Raw genomic sequence first — 15,704 nt, 5'->3', positions numbered from 1 at the left:
GCAGGTTTAATCACAGATTATATAGTATTATGTCTAACTGACAAAAAAATCTACAATTTAAGGTAGAATAAATAATTTTTGCTTAAAGGATTTGTGATTACAACTGTGTTTTCTAAGGAAGGAATTATCCTTAATCATTTGATTTATATGCCAATATTGCAGACAAGACGTGTTTTTATGCTTTTGCAAATTGTCTGTGGAAGAAAAACTAAACTAAAAATTTTATTCATTTTAATTTTATGATAAATATTTAGCAATTACTTTTGCATTGATCATGTGGAATGTGGTTTACCTTCTGAAATAAATGACTTGGTTTAGCCACCCAATGACTAGGAGCTCAGTTAAGGGTACACATTAACTTATTTTTTGTGTGCTTTTATTCTTATTGGCTTTTCTCCAACAGTGTTGAACTTTAACTGAGTCATGATTTCCTGAAAAATAAAACAGGTACGGAACACTCCACCTTGCTCCCTCCTCACCCTGCTCTCCCTCTTGCCTTTTGTGTTCTAGGAAACAGCCTACTGCAAAAATCAACCATCCCTTATGACTTAGATTAATGGATGACCCCCTTGTCTATGAATCACAATGTTAGCCACAGACTCTAAAAATTCCATTTCTTTATCTCATAAATGATTAGCTGAACAATTTTGCTATTGACCAATATGGAAAAATGCTGGGTAACCTAACTTTACCAAAATTTAGGCAGTTTTTTCCAGATTCCTCAACTTTGGTCTCTCTTTTACAAGTCCCTCCTGAGAATCAGCTAACCTTAGGGAAAAAAAATTTTTCGATCAACTGATTACACCACTAGCTCATCTCACTCCTCCATATCCAGTTCTTTCTAGCCTTGTTTACTCTTCCCTATAAATAAAATTTAATTCTGTTTATCCTTTCAGAGCTTTGCAGATCTTATGTTCCGAGCGTTTTTTCTGTTGTAATAGTTCTCCTACCTCTATTGCAGTAGTATTTTCCTTTCTGTACCTATGCCTGGCTTTATTTTTAAATCAATCACCACTTTTTAAATTATGGTCAGTTCTGACTTATGAAAAATTGTTACAGACAATAGTCATGAAAACCCACCTGCCCAAATCATAAATAGATTTAGGATCACTCCCAAATGTTGATGGTTGTGTATGGATTTTATCAGAATAATCATTCAGTCTTCATTTTAATGCTGGCCTAGAGCTCAAAGCACTCAATTTTACCCAATTTACTATTATAACTATATGGAAAAGCTAATTAAGTATCAAAAAATTGGAGTAGAAAAAGAAGCAAGCTCATCTCATTTTGCATTCTAGTGCAGTATTCTGGTTTAAATATGTACCTCGGGAAAGCTAATTTGCTTCACTTGTGGAGAGGAAAATTTTAGCTATAGTTGGAGGCCAATCTGTGGAGATAAGGTGTGCAACTTAGGGAGGAAGACAGCGAGCCTTCAAGTACACCTGGACAATCTATTCATTATTATATCCTGAGTGTCTAGACCAGGGCATGACACATAGTGAATGCTAACTCAGTATTTATAGAATAAATGTGTTATACCTTTGACACAAGCACACTTTATTTTTTATTTTTCTTTATTCAAAAGCTATGGTGTCAGTTCCTGGTCTAAGAATGACAAAAGAGAATATACATATTTATTTATTGAAGAGAGACAAGAGATATGAAAATGGGAAATGATAGGTACATGCCTTTATATCAACTCACTTTGCAGTCTGTCTATATTTTATACTTAGTCATAATGAGATGAAGTTTTGAGTGACATTATTTTCTGGTCATTTATAGATTTATTTTGAATCTATAGAATGATATTGTCATTTAATTTAATAAATATATAAACTGATCATATGCTAGTGATTTGTGAGTTAGTAAACATAAGTTCCAAAAGTTCTATCCAATTTGAATAAAAATTTTTAAAAATAGAGTCAAATTCAAAAAGTTGAGAACCATAATCTTGACTTTGAAAAAGTTCTCAAACAATATAGAAAAGTCATTGTCAGATGTAATACTGGCCATTCTTGGTCTCCTTCCCATTTCAGTTTGCATTCTTTATTTACATTTATATTTGTATATTACAGAACATAGAAAATTTTTATAATATTATTCAGAAAAGTTACATTTCTGAATGTTAGATTTTAAATTTTAATTTAACTTCATTGACATAGTCTTCATTGACATCTACTTGACCTACAAAGACTTCTTTATGTAATCTTTTTCTTTTCTATTTTCTCCCACATTGTACTGGATCAGACAGTGTTCCCCCAAAATTCATGCTACTTGGAACCTCAGAATGTGACCATCTTTGCCGTCTTTGGAAATAGAGTATGCCCAAGTAGACATGTTAACATGAGGTCATCCTGTATTAGGATGAGTCCTAAATCTAATATGACTGGTGTTCTTATAAGAACAGGGAAATTTGGATATTGAAATGCATGCACACAGGGTAGTAAGCCACGTGGACAGAGATGGAGCAGAGATTAAAGTGATGCATCATCTAGAAGCCAGAGAACACCAAGGATCACCATTAACCACAAAAAGCCAGAGGGGGCAAGGAAGGATTCTTTCCTTGAGTCTTAAGAGAAAGTATGCCCCTGCTGAAACCTTGATTCTGGACTTCTAGACTCCAAACTTGTGTGAGAATAAATCTCTGCTGTTTTTAGCCACCCATTTGTGGTACTTTCTTACAGCAGTCACGAGAAGTGATTACATACCCCATACTCAAAAGAACCCTCATGTGGGGGTAGGTGTTTAGAAAAGCAATTTTGTCAAGATGAACAAAATGAGAGAACTCCAGGAATTCTCAGAGTACGGTATACATCTAAGAGCAGATAGTGAGGAAGTTTCATCTCTGAATAATGACATTATTAATTTCTTCTAGTAAAGGGGAGCAGTGTTTTTTTAATAGTGTCTGTATTAAATGAAGTAATGATACTTCCTGAAACATATCCAAAATATGTGATGACTTAAAATGATTAAAACAATATTTCTCACTCATGTAACTGTTTGAAAGCAAGAGTTCCTGATTAGAAGCCCAGCCCCCTTCCAGTGGAGATTCAGGGACCCAGGGTCCACCCATTGTTTAGCTCCAATATCTTCAACATGTGGCTTCAAATTTACCATGGAAGGGTAAATATGCAGGAATGGGAAGTTTTTAACGGGTTAAATTTGAAAGGGAATACATTGTCTCTACCCACATTTCATGGCCAGAACCCATGTTGCATTGGCACAGAGAGAACTGTAGTCCGTAAACACATACCCTAGAGGTAGAGAAAGTGCATTCGGTGAAGAATTAGCCAGTCTCTGACACAGGGATACAATTCATTTTAATACACAGTTACTGAGTAATTATGATGGGCAAGATATTAGGACACTGCCTATAATTTAACATTCAAAATAATTTAAGCAAAGTTTGAAGGACTCATTTTATAAAATATTAAACATAAGATTGCTATTGCATGTTCTATTTTCTATAAGTATTTAGATTTTACATTGTAATTTAACTTCATTGACATATTCTTGATATTTAAAGTTATACCACTTGTATTTGGTATACTTTTCAATTATCTTCATAAAAATTTTCTGAAAATTAAAAAATAAATATCGCCTTAATACAGATAAAAGAGAGACTAAGCAATATGTAAATGTGTACTCAATTCCAACCCGTAACCACACCAGTCATATTAAACTTTTATAAAAATCAGAAAAGCAAGGATAAAGAGAATGGGAGGTTTGGAGTCTCCTGAGATAACTATTTGAAAGAACTTCAGAGTAAACTGCAAATTTGAAAGAACTGTTTACAATAGCTACTGTAGATGCCATTACAAAAAAAGTATCTTTCTGTAGTATGTGGTAATATTAGCATAGGATTAAATAGTCTTGAACTTCAAAACCACTCTTTTTATTAATACCTTTGTTTCAATCATAGGCATAGTATTTGTAAAATAAATTATCTTTTGGTTTATGAAAGTAAAAACTGTTGACAACATTCTCAGTAATTTATACTCTTCAAATGTGGTGTTGAGGATTTCAGAGAGGTGACTTTAAACATTAGCTAATCTGGAACCAAGATATACTGAGAAGTCAGCCCCTGCACTATTTGGACATAAAAAGAACTGAACTTAGCAGGGTGTTAATACAGTGTGACATTATTATTGTTTCGATCTCTGGCTCTAAAATGAAGAGTTTACCTTTGGAATGTTTATTTTCACAGTGTTTTGATCAATGGACTTGTATTTGGCTGTCCTGGAACAAAGGGCGTTGAACAATTTCTCTCTCTCTCTCTCTGTAAATTGCTTTTCAGCCCCTTTAGTTTAGAAAAAGTTATGTTTTGTATGGAAGTGAAAAGCTGAAGAATTCATGGATACATGTTAGTATCATATCTATAATAGAAAATAAAACATATTTTACTAAAACTAAAGGAAGGCTGGGTTAAATTTGTTATTGAAGGGACAACCTTGAAATAAATGATAATTATGCACTAACTTTTCTAAAAATCCAGTGTGCCTAACAAATACATAGTATGGTGGGTGCTATGGTCTGAGCATTTGTGTGTCCCCAGGATTCCTATCACTCTACCCCCCAAGGTGAAGTATTAAGAGGTAGGGTCTTTGGGGAAGTGATTATGAGAGTGGAGCCTCATGAACAGGATTAGTGCCTTTAGAAGAGACTCCCTCGCCCCCCAGCCCAGGCTGGGCACTATGGCTCACGCCTGTAATCCCAGCAATTTGGGAGGCCAAGGTGGTTGGACCACCTGAGGTCAGGAGTTCAAGGCCAGCCAGGCTAACATGGTAAAACCCTGCCTCTTCTAAAAATACAGCAATTAGTCAGGCATGGTGGCACACGTTATAGTCCTAGCTACTTGGGAGTCTGAGGAAGGAAATCCCTTGAATCCATGTGGTGGAGGTTGCAGTGAACTGTGATTGTACCACTACATTCAAGCCTGGGTGACAAAGCAGGATTCTGCCCACCGCCTCCCACCACCCCCCTCAAAAAAAACAAGGCCTCAGAGGAGGCTTGCCCCTTCCACCACCACAGGAAGATGCAGCGAGAAGGTGCCACCTGTGAGAAGAAACTGGCCTCATCAGACACCAAATCTGCTGGTCTCTTATTATGGGACGTTCCAGCCTCCAGAACTGTGAGAAATACATTTTTGTTATTTATAACCTACCCAGTTTATGGCACTTTGTTACAGCAGCCCTAAGGCACTAAGGCAATGGGTAGAAAGTGTTACGATTATCCCATTTCAGGCTTATGATAACTGTAAGTACCTATCCTGATGCATGCTGAAATTTCGTATCATGAAGTGTCAGATTCTAAAGCTGGAATTCTTAGTAAAAGTAGTTTGAGACAATGGGAATCATAATGATCCAAAATAGGAATGTTGTAATTCTTGTTATCTATTGACAAACAAATGGACAATATGTTGTCTGTTGTACCTTGCAATATAAACCATGTATCTAACATAATTGTGCATTATGGGATTTGGTATGGAAAATTCAGGATGTTAGAATGGGTTGTTAACTTTTTCTCTTCTAATAGAATCAGTAATATCCTATAATAAAGATAGACTTGGGTTGAAATTGGCTCATCTGAAAGAAAAGTCACATTTTTGCTCCTGGTCAATCTTTCAGGATGGCTGCGATTTTAATAACCTGGGGCCTTGTAAGGATGAAAAAGCTAAATTATTTAACACAAAGCTTATTAGTGTAAGCAGAGTTGAGGAAGCCAGAACTAAAATTGGCAATAAGATTGAGATTTGAGAGAAGCCTGATTCCCACAGGCCCTTCCCATGAATCTCCTATTATGTGCTGCCAGACAGATACAGGAGATAATTACTTTTATTGTGTAAGTGCAGATAGCAGGGACAAGAGCAGATTAACTATTCCTCACCATCCAAACCGTTGTCTAAAATTGTTGAAGGCAGATGCCTCGGTGGACATCATTAAACTGAGGTCTAGGGAACTGAGCATATAACAGAAACTGTTACTAGGAAACAGATTCTCCTAATTTCATCCCTAGAATCAGGAACCATGACCCAAAACAATATCTGGCTTTATTTATCAGTGTCTGCAGTTAAGAGATTGTGATTAGCAATACAACACCCCTTCACGCCTGCTGTCTTTGCACTCAGATGAAGACACATCCACACAAATCAGCAGGAAGTGAGATGATAAAGAGCTTTAGAAACCCAGATATGCTTTATTTCAAATTCCCTTTTCAGATGCGCTAGTGGATAACATAAAATAAGGCATTCCTCTTAGAGGCCACAACCAAAAGCCATGGGAAGTGGGGTGGGAGTAATGGACAAAAATTATCTTTCCGGAAAAATATCTAGGACTCATTCTACTTTTAGGGCAAAATGTTCATACTGTTCTTTTGAGTGAGATATGAGCTATGAAACAATGACCACTTTGCTTTATTTCTAATTATTTCCTTTATCCAATGAGTTTAGTACTGTTTTACTGTTTTAATCCTTCATTTATTCTCCAAACAACATGGAGACCCATCCTATGAGTACTTGAAAAGACCACATTTTATCAGAAGATGTATCCAGTGACAAGATGAAACTTTGAGGAAGGGATGAGTGGTATGCACATTGTCAGGGACATTTTTGGAAATGTATGTATGGGAAGGAGGCTATATGTGGAATTTTAAACCTAATTTTCAAAAATGCAAAATTGTAGCTCTCCTACAAATATTAAAATTTGTATTTTAATTTTAAAATATTAAAAATTGTATTTTCAATAAGTTATTCAACATATCAATAAATAAGGGTAATAGTAAGATATTTAAGATAGGTCCAAAGAGCATTTTGTGTTTTCATAAGCAATTGCTGAGTTTGCTGAGTTTGACATAAAACTGTCAATGACCTATAAGTTCACAAACAGTAACCTTTGTTTTTGTTACCAGACAGAAGTTATTTACATCTCTATCGGACAAAAATCCACAACTTGACATAACAGTTGATTAAATCTTTGAGCAATAGTAAACAATGAATTGAACAAAGTCCATTTCCTTAAGTTTTAGGAGGGTTGGGGTCACTATAGGATGCTGAAGAAACACATTACTTTTTGGGGAGAATGATTTCAAGGTTTTCATTTTTTAAAAATATCTTTGTCTCAATCATGGGCATAGTATGTGTAGACTGAATTATCTGTTAGTTTATGAAAGTAAAAGCTGCTACAGTGTTCTCCAAAAGTTGTCACTAAATTTTAAAGGCATTTGCACTTGGTCTGGAAATTCAGAGGTATATCTGACCCTAACTTAATTGTTGTCCTGGTGTGGATGATCTGTTTTTCAAACTGAAAGCCTTTCAGAACTATTATTTTCCTCCTTAAAGTTCTGAAATAAAATTCTCAGTAATGTATTGTTTACACTCATCCTGTTGGCCCTTCTTTATATTATTTGAAATTAAAGACCTCTGTGTCCATCCAGGGAAATTCTGGGTTATAAAAAAATTATTTCTTCTTTTTTTGTTTGTTTGTTTTTTTGGTCTCACTTTCTGAGTCACATAGTACAATTTCTGGTTTGATTTTTCTCTGCCTAAATGTGTTTATGTGGTTAATTTATCATTATTCTTCAACAAATTTTGCACTCCAGGAGAAAAATTACATGTCTGATTGTGGACCACTGTAATTCCAGTGTGAAATATTATGAGCATGTTGAATGAATTAATTAATATATTACACATGGGGGAAAAAGTGATTTTCTTTCTTCATCCTCTTGTCCAGCATTTGTTCTCTTCCTCTTAAAATAAATGCACCCTTATGGTTAGTGATTATTTTCTTAAGCCTTGCAGTCCTTTTTAATATACTGCTTGTATTTTTATTTGTTAATATGGAAATATTTGTTTAGTAGCTCTCACATGAGTCTTGTCTGAATATTCTTTGTATTCCAAACTCTGATCACAGTGTTATCCTTGTTGTTCTTTTAAACTGCTCTCATTTTTTTCCTCTAAACAAGGTATGATTGACCCCTTCTTTCCACAACTTCTGCAAAGAATTCTTCATTGGCCCGTCCTAAACAGGCTTTATCATCATATAGTCTAATTTCAATCCAAAAACATCCTCTTTGATCATCTGTTAGGACACTTATAACAATGTTTATCATCACATAGTGAAATTTCAATCCAAGAACATCCTCTTTGATCATCTGACACAACAACGTGCAGCTGCCATTTGCACTTTTCTGAATTCTGATTATATTGTGCAATTATCACATGCATGTGTTGATTCTACATGTCCTTCGACCAAGAAGTGCTGCTGCGGTACAAATCTAAAACTCGATGGGACCTTATAATTAATGAATTGTTGCTTTAATTGAGAAAATTAAACTCTGTTGAAATTATATATCTCATTTAAGCCTCTTAATGAGGAATCTGAAATTCAGGGAATTTAAGCAAACTTCTCAATATCACTCAGTAAATAAGTGACTGAACCAGCTTATTCATGCAAGTATTTTTGGTATGGATACCTATTTTAGACTCCAAATTTGACTGTGCCACTCACCTCCCTACCTAAATTTTTCACTTGCTCCCTATCACGTAAAAGAGTAAACCAAAATTCATAAGCATGGTGCATAAGCCCTTCCATGAATTTTCCCCTTTTTATGGATACTGCTTCATTTCTGGCTATTTTATACCACAAACTTCTTGAAAATGCCTCAGGCAATATATCATTTCACAGTTCTATTCTTTTATTCATGGAGTTTCCTTTGGCAGAAATGCCAGCTCCACATTTTTCTTTAACCTTTATAGTTCTCTTTCTTCAAGTCTCTGCTCATGGCTGTTCTTGGTGCTTTCTAAGAATATCTGGGTGATCTAAGTGCTCCTCTTCCGTGCTCTACAGCGCGCTGAAGAGCCGCCATGTTATGTGTACTCTCTTACATAGGAATCAGTGATATTTTATCCTGGCTCTCCCACTGGCATGTAAAGTATTTGAGGGGAGAACTTTTATTTTCATTATTTCAGTGTTATTATTTCACCATGTCTGCCATGTAACTGGTGTAAAGTAAATATCATATTGAACTAATTTTTAAAGTAAAACTTAAGACAAGAAAAGGAGGACTGGATCTTTCCAGGGAAAAAGCACACTGAATCATATGTGAGTATAGTTAATTTACATAGTAATGAGATGTGGAGGGGTCCTGCTGTGGGAGGGAGGAACACTGTTTTCAAAATTTTAGAGAATACCAAAAATTGTAAAGTGACATAATATTGTTAATAATAATAACGACATTCACTAAACATTCTGTCTGTTCCAGGTTAAGATTAGGAAAATATATAAAATAATATATTTCTTACAATAGCTATATAACAGAGGCACAATGAAGATGCCAATTTTTAAGTGAGAAAATATTAAGAAAATTGACTAATGAACATGATGGCTCACACCTGTAATCCTAACACTTTGGGAGGCTGAGGTGGGAGGATTGCTTAAGGCCAGGAATTCAAAACCAGCCTTGAACCCATAGGGAGACCTGTCTCTACAAAAAATAATTTAAAAAATGAGCCTGTTGTGGTGGGGAGTGCCTGCAGTTTCAGCTACTACAGGGGCTGAGGTGGGAGGATCCTCTGAGCCCAGGAGTTTGAGTATGCAATGAGCAGTGATCACGCCAATGCACTCCAGCCTGGGTGACAGAGTAAGACCCTGTCTTTAAAAAAAGGAAAACAAAAGAGAAAATTGGCAAATTATGAACATTTAGTAAATTATGAAAATGGAGATCAAAGTACTGCAGTGTGCCCCCAGATTCCCTGAATATAACCACAACATTACAACTTTAAGTGTCTCCGTTTACAGGTAGGATTAAAAGAGACTCACAGCATCATGAAAATAACCTGAACAAATCAGGTAAGAAGAGTATTCCCAGAGATCAAAACAAAACTAACAGGATCATTTCCAGAAGTTCTACATTTCATGTTCAAAAACTATTACAACTGAGGACTTGATGTTTTCTTAGACAATTGAGAGAATTGTTACAACAAGTATTACCACAAGAGGGCATTTTAATAGTTCAATGGAGTTCTGGGAGAAGGAACTTCATTTTGGAAGTCAGTGGGAGTAAATCCACTGAAGGTGAGTGTGAGTCTTCATTATTCGGTTGCTTAACAGCTTAACCTTCTTATTAGAACTGGTGAATCTGCATATTTTAAATTTTGGCAGGTGACTAAACCTCCTACTGTTAAGCCTGAAAATACCTGCTCCTCTGCAAACTAAGGCATGGGCTGATGGCATTCCCTTGAGCAATCTGATACAAGCAGCTAAACTTTTAAATTTGGTGATAGTGACAGAAGGAATCAGGGAGAATGTTTTCTAGTAGTAAACCTGCATTCAAGGGAAGTAATAGAAATAATACCAGCCATGGAATCATTGCTGGAATACTGGCCCTGTAGCCTGCAACCTCCAGCTATCAGTAGCCACAACTCACTGGTTTGTTTCTGTTGCGTGATTGAAATTTTGGTTCAGCCTCTTGATCTCATTTTTCATTCCCATATTTTGAATATATTTGTACACTCTACGTGGATGTTGTGTGCGGCAATGTTATTTTAATTAATTCGTTTCCTTTAAAAAAATCAATCTGAACTTATTATCACTGCTAAGAGTAAGAACCTTAACCAACATAGTTGCAGAAATGAACAGATCATCTAGAAAATTGGGGAATCAGGAATTGATCTTCTAGTTTGCATAAGATTAAAGGAAGAAAAGAAAGAACTCTAGCCAATATTATAAGCTGGGACTATGGTAGCCCATTGTGTGCACTGACAAATGTGAAATTAAAATTTAACTGTGAGTAGTCATAAAGTAAAGATTTTGGAGAATTGAGTTGTTACTGGCATAAAAAAGTATGAAAGGCACCCGGAAAGGTAATTGCTTCTAATGGAACCAGTTAACTTATGAAAAGAGATAGACTCCAATTCCTAGCTATACAACTCAAGGCATGGGCTGAATTTCAGGATTTTATGTGTGTACTAAAATAATTTGAGCCTCTTGTAGTTATTTGGCAGAGATAACTGGTTAAAAACTAAAACCAATCTAAACTAAAAAACCCTCAAAATGTGATTAAGGTTGCTGTATCCCTGGGTCCAGTCAGAGAAAAGCAAATTAGGACAAAACACTTCAGCTATTTTATTAGCAAACACTTATTATAAGGAATAAATAAAAAGGTATTGGAAATTCTGTGGTCTTGGAAGGCTGAGGAGATCCTGATTTGACAAAGAACTAAGTGCAGGAAGGAACCACCACCACTAGGTCTGGAAGAACAGAAGGAAGATGTGATTGCTAAAACCTGGAAGCTTGCAAGAGGAACCCCTGCAAAAGATCCACTCTAACTTCTGAGGGATTGCTGGTGCCTTATTAGTGCTGGTATCTCAGAAGGTCAGAAGACAATTCCCTTGAAGCTAAGATTCAGACATGTATAAAGTTTAGCTGGGTCTATTATCTTTGATGGGGGACAATGAGGTTGATTTGGGGAGGGTTAAAAAACAGCTAGAAATTTGAAGAAAATGCAGTTGCTTGGTGAAAAACCATCAAGATGATTCACAGGAGAAAGGAAGGACAAGTTGCTTCAATTACTATTTTTTCTTTCATAGCCTCTCACTCACATTCCCTATGGATGAAAAATACTATTGTGAAAACTGTTGGAACAAGAAGCTTCTAGTATTATAAAACAGACTATAAAAAGGTGGGAAAGAAAGAAAAAAGTGAGTCAATAAGTATATCAAAAATGCTCCTATCACTGTCAAAGAATTACAAATCAAAACAAGCAAACAGCAACCTGCTATTCACAAATTGAGCTATGATTCAAACAATGATAAAATGCACTGTTGACAGTGTTTGTATAGCGTTTAATGTAGGAAATTACTATTTTACTCCAAGCTTTTTGTTTAGCTGTTATCAGAATGGAATGACAAAAAGTTGGGAGTGTAATAGTGATTCTGCATATTAATCACCTACATATACACTTTCAGTGAATAATAGGCAGTTTTTGTAATTTTTTTCTAATCCTATGTTACTTCTAATTTGTGTTTATTGAAAAGTAATTTTATGTCTGTAAAATTTTAGAAAATCGGACTTGTAAAAATATTCAGTATAGACAAGAACAAAATAAAATACTTTCAAAAAAAATAAAGTGAATGTGGAACTGTGAGACAATAGTTCAATATCCAGCATATATGATGATTTACAATAGTTGTTGAATTTACCAGCTCTTGAATATGAAAATTAATTGATCAGTAAAGAATTGGGACCTAAGAACTAGAATGTAGCAAATTTGTGGAGCTAGGGAATACCTTTCACTGACAACCCCCCTTTGCTCTTGGCCTTTTTGGATTTGAAGGTGGGATAATATTCATTTAAGTTTTCTTCTCCTATTCACTCACCAAATGATCCAAAAGTCTACTATCCTTGCTAGTGAGTAAGAACCTTAACCGACATAGATGCTGAAATGAACAGGTCATCTAGAAAACTGGGGAATTAGGAATTGATCTTCTAGTTATCATTAGATTTAAAGAAGTAAAAAAATAAATCTAGCCAATATTATAGGCTGAGACTATTGCTAACATCAAATAAGCTCCAGCTGATTCAACACCTGAAGCAAACAACTCTTAAGAGGTGTTGGGAATATCTGTGGCAGAATGGGTTGTTTTATGGAAGATATAGCAAGCCTCATTCTTAGCATCATGTCTTTTAAAATAAATTCTTGTTACTGAGATCAAAAAGAAAATTTAAACATTGTAAAGGGACAATAATTGATTAGGCAAAACTTTAATAAGATTATCGGATCATTAGAGCAGTTATTATCGTACATCCAAAGCAATACATCACAGATGGGAAGTGGGAATTTGGAAGCAAGGATAGAGCAGCTGCTGAAGGAAAAAGTCAGTTGTGTGAGCAGTTGGGTCACGTTATAGAATGCTAAAATCTGTTTATTCCTGCCCTTCTCTCAACTCACACCTATCAGATAAGAAGATCACTGTGGCTGGGCGTGGTGGCTCACGCCTGTAATCCCAGCACTTTGGGAGGCCGAGGTGGGCAGATCACGAGGTCAGGAGATCGAGACCATCCTGGCTAACATGGTGAAACCCCGTCTCTACTAAAAATACAAAAAATTAGCCGGGCGTGGTGGCAGGCGCCCGTAGTCCCAGCTACTCGGAGGCTGAGACAGGAGAATGGTGTCAACCCGGGAGGCGGAGCTTGCAGTGAGCCGAGATCATGCCACTGCACTCCAGCGTGGGTGACAGAGCGAGACTCCATCCCAAAAAAAAAAAAAAAAAAAGAATATCACTGTGACTAAAAGAGAGTTAACAGCAACAACAAAAAAGAATGGGAACGCTTTTTAGATTAATCTATTATATTCTGTATTTGCTCTAGCCAAGAGTCATTATGCAATAATTTATCTGGATTCAGTTTGTTTATAAAAATAAATCCAATGTAGATTTGTTTTCAGAAAAATCTCAAAACAAATAACCAAACAAAGAGCTGTAATGTCAACTCCTGAGTCAATCCCTCAGCTCTCAAACCAGTACTAGAAAAAAAAAAAAGTTGCTAAATTCGTACAGCCCTCAAAATGAGACATTATGTCCAATTCTTCTCTCCATTTCCTTGAAGAACCATGGACCAGGGAGTTCCTCTTGAGAGCTGAGCTGGGACAGGATGACTGGCAAATTAAATAGATTATTCCACTACCAAGTAAAGAAGATACAATTTTTAATCCTTATTTGTAGGGAATACTCTACCACTAGTATAATATAATCATGCCCCTTTCTTTTTTTCTTTTTTTTCCAAAATGCACTTATTGTATTATAATTGTTTTAATGGCGGTGTAACATTTATCCATAAAATGTATGTCGTAGTAGAATTTTTTGTTTTTGTTTTTAATTTAGAGACAGTCTTGCTCTGTAGCTTAGGCTGGGGAGCAGTGGTAAAATCATAGCTGGCTGCAACCTCAAACTCCTGGGCTCAAGCGATCCTCCCTCCTCAGCCTCCTGAGTAGCTGGGACTGCATGCATGTGCCATGGCAACAGGCTAATTTTTGTATTTTTTGTAGGGACAGGGCCTCTCTATGTTGCCCAGATTGGTCCTGAACTCCTGGCCTCAAGCGATCTTCCTGCTGCAGCCTCCCAAGGCACAGGGATCATGGGCAAGAGGTGCCTGGTCCTTTAGTTTGTTTTTGTATCATCATTTCAGTCAATTGAACAAGAAATTTTCTTTGACTTTAGAGCAATTTGACCAAGGCCCTTTTAACTGACCAGCTTCCCCAACATATGGATTAGTGGAATAGGATTGCTATGAGGATTAAATGTAATAAAGCAGTTAGAATACATAGTGTTTTATCAATCTTATGCAGTAAGTTAATGATATTTGCTTACAGAAATGGAGTACATGTATACCCCCACATCCTCAATTTAGTCCTATTTTATTTTATTATTATTATTTTTCGAGACAGAGTTTCTCTCTTGTTGTCCAGGCTGGAGTGAAATGGTGAGATTTTGGCTCACTGCAACCCCTGCCTCCCCGGTTCAAGTGATTCTCCTGCCTCAGCCTCCCAAGTAGCTGGGATTACAGGCACCCGCCACCACGCCTGGCTAATTTTGTATTTTTAGTAGAGACAGGGTTTCTCCATGTTGGTCAGGCTGGTCTTGAACTCCCGACCTCAGGTGATTCACCTGCATTGGCCTCCCAAAGTGCTGGGATTACAGGCGTGAGCCACCGCACCCGGCCTTTAGTCCTATTTTAAACACATGAATTCCTGTCTACCATAACTGCATTATCTCTGATATCTATACCCCTCTGTCAGTATTTCTGCTACTATGACATTTCTGTCTGACAATGACTTACTAAATATAAGCTATAAATAAACAAAAAAAAGAAACAGGACTTACTTTTATATGGCAGATATTATCAGTACTGAGCCATCCTCCTGGCATAGGTATTTTAAATGAGATAAAAAATAATTCTATTTATTGATAAATGCCATTTATGATTGATAAATATATCATAGTTGTGTTATAATTTTGTTTGATATGGCCACTGCCTTGACATCCCTTTTTAGGCCTGAAAAGTTATTTGAAAGCTAATCATACCTCATCACCTTTGGTCTAGTTAAAACTTCCCCCTCCTTTTGTAGCTGTTTGATAGATGCCATGCTTATTTCTAAACACACTGACCCTAAACCCAGCACATCCTGCAGCTGCTGAGCAGGATTCAACCCAATGGTCAACATCAGAGTCTCGGCCCTCACCCCCCACCCACCCACTGGTTGAGTACCCCGCTGTTGCTGGATTTTTCCACCTGCCCAAGTGGCCACCCTGCTTCTCTCATAGATCAATGAGTAACAAAATGCTTCTGTGATTTCATGTCGTTTACTGTGCTGTCTCCTCATTGTGATTCACCTGACTGATGTACTTAAACCTGACTCTCCTCCCAGTCAGGGTTCTCCTGGAAGGTAGCTACCTTGGTATGAATACATTGGATATAGGTCAGACAAAAGCCCCAAGGGTGTCTGCCAATATAAAGGGAATCTTTGTCATGGGTTGGATACCTAGGTATTAGGCCATGCATCAGGATAAAGAAATGTCCCATGAAAGGCACACTGTAAACACCCACAAACACATCCTGTGGAGCCTGTCAGGACAGGCCTAGAATTTATAACCATTTTCCCGAGAGGGAGCTGAAGACCAAATGTAAAAACAAACAAACAAAAACAAGACC

At 36.6% G+C, this 15,704-nt stretch overlaps 1 annotated feature.

Annotated features, from left to right (window-relative positions):
- Positions 15,130-15,704: an enhancer, noted in NCBI's record as "OCT4-NANOG hESC enhancer chr13:70154274-70154848 (GRCh37/hg19 assembly coordinates)". NCBI's record gives its function as "activates a minimal SCP1, AML or CMV promoter by ChIP-STARR-seq in naive and primed H9 embryonic stem cells {active_cell/tissue: H9 hESC(naive and primed)}" and the evidence as "EXISTENCE:reporter gene assay evidence [ECO:0000049][PMID:30033119]".

The sequence above is a fragment of the Homo sapiens genome, chromosome 13 (genome assembly GCF_000001405.40).
Source record: "Homo sapiens chromosome 13, GRCh38.p14 Primary Assembly".
Lineage (NCBI taxonomy): Eukaryota > Metazoa > Chordata > Mammalia > Primates > Hominidae > Homo > Homo sapiens.
Note: the sequence above shows the minus strand (reverse complement) of the source record. Positions and strands in the feature narration are given on the sequence as shown.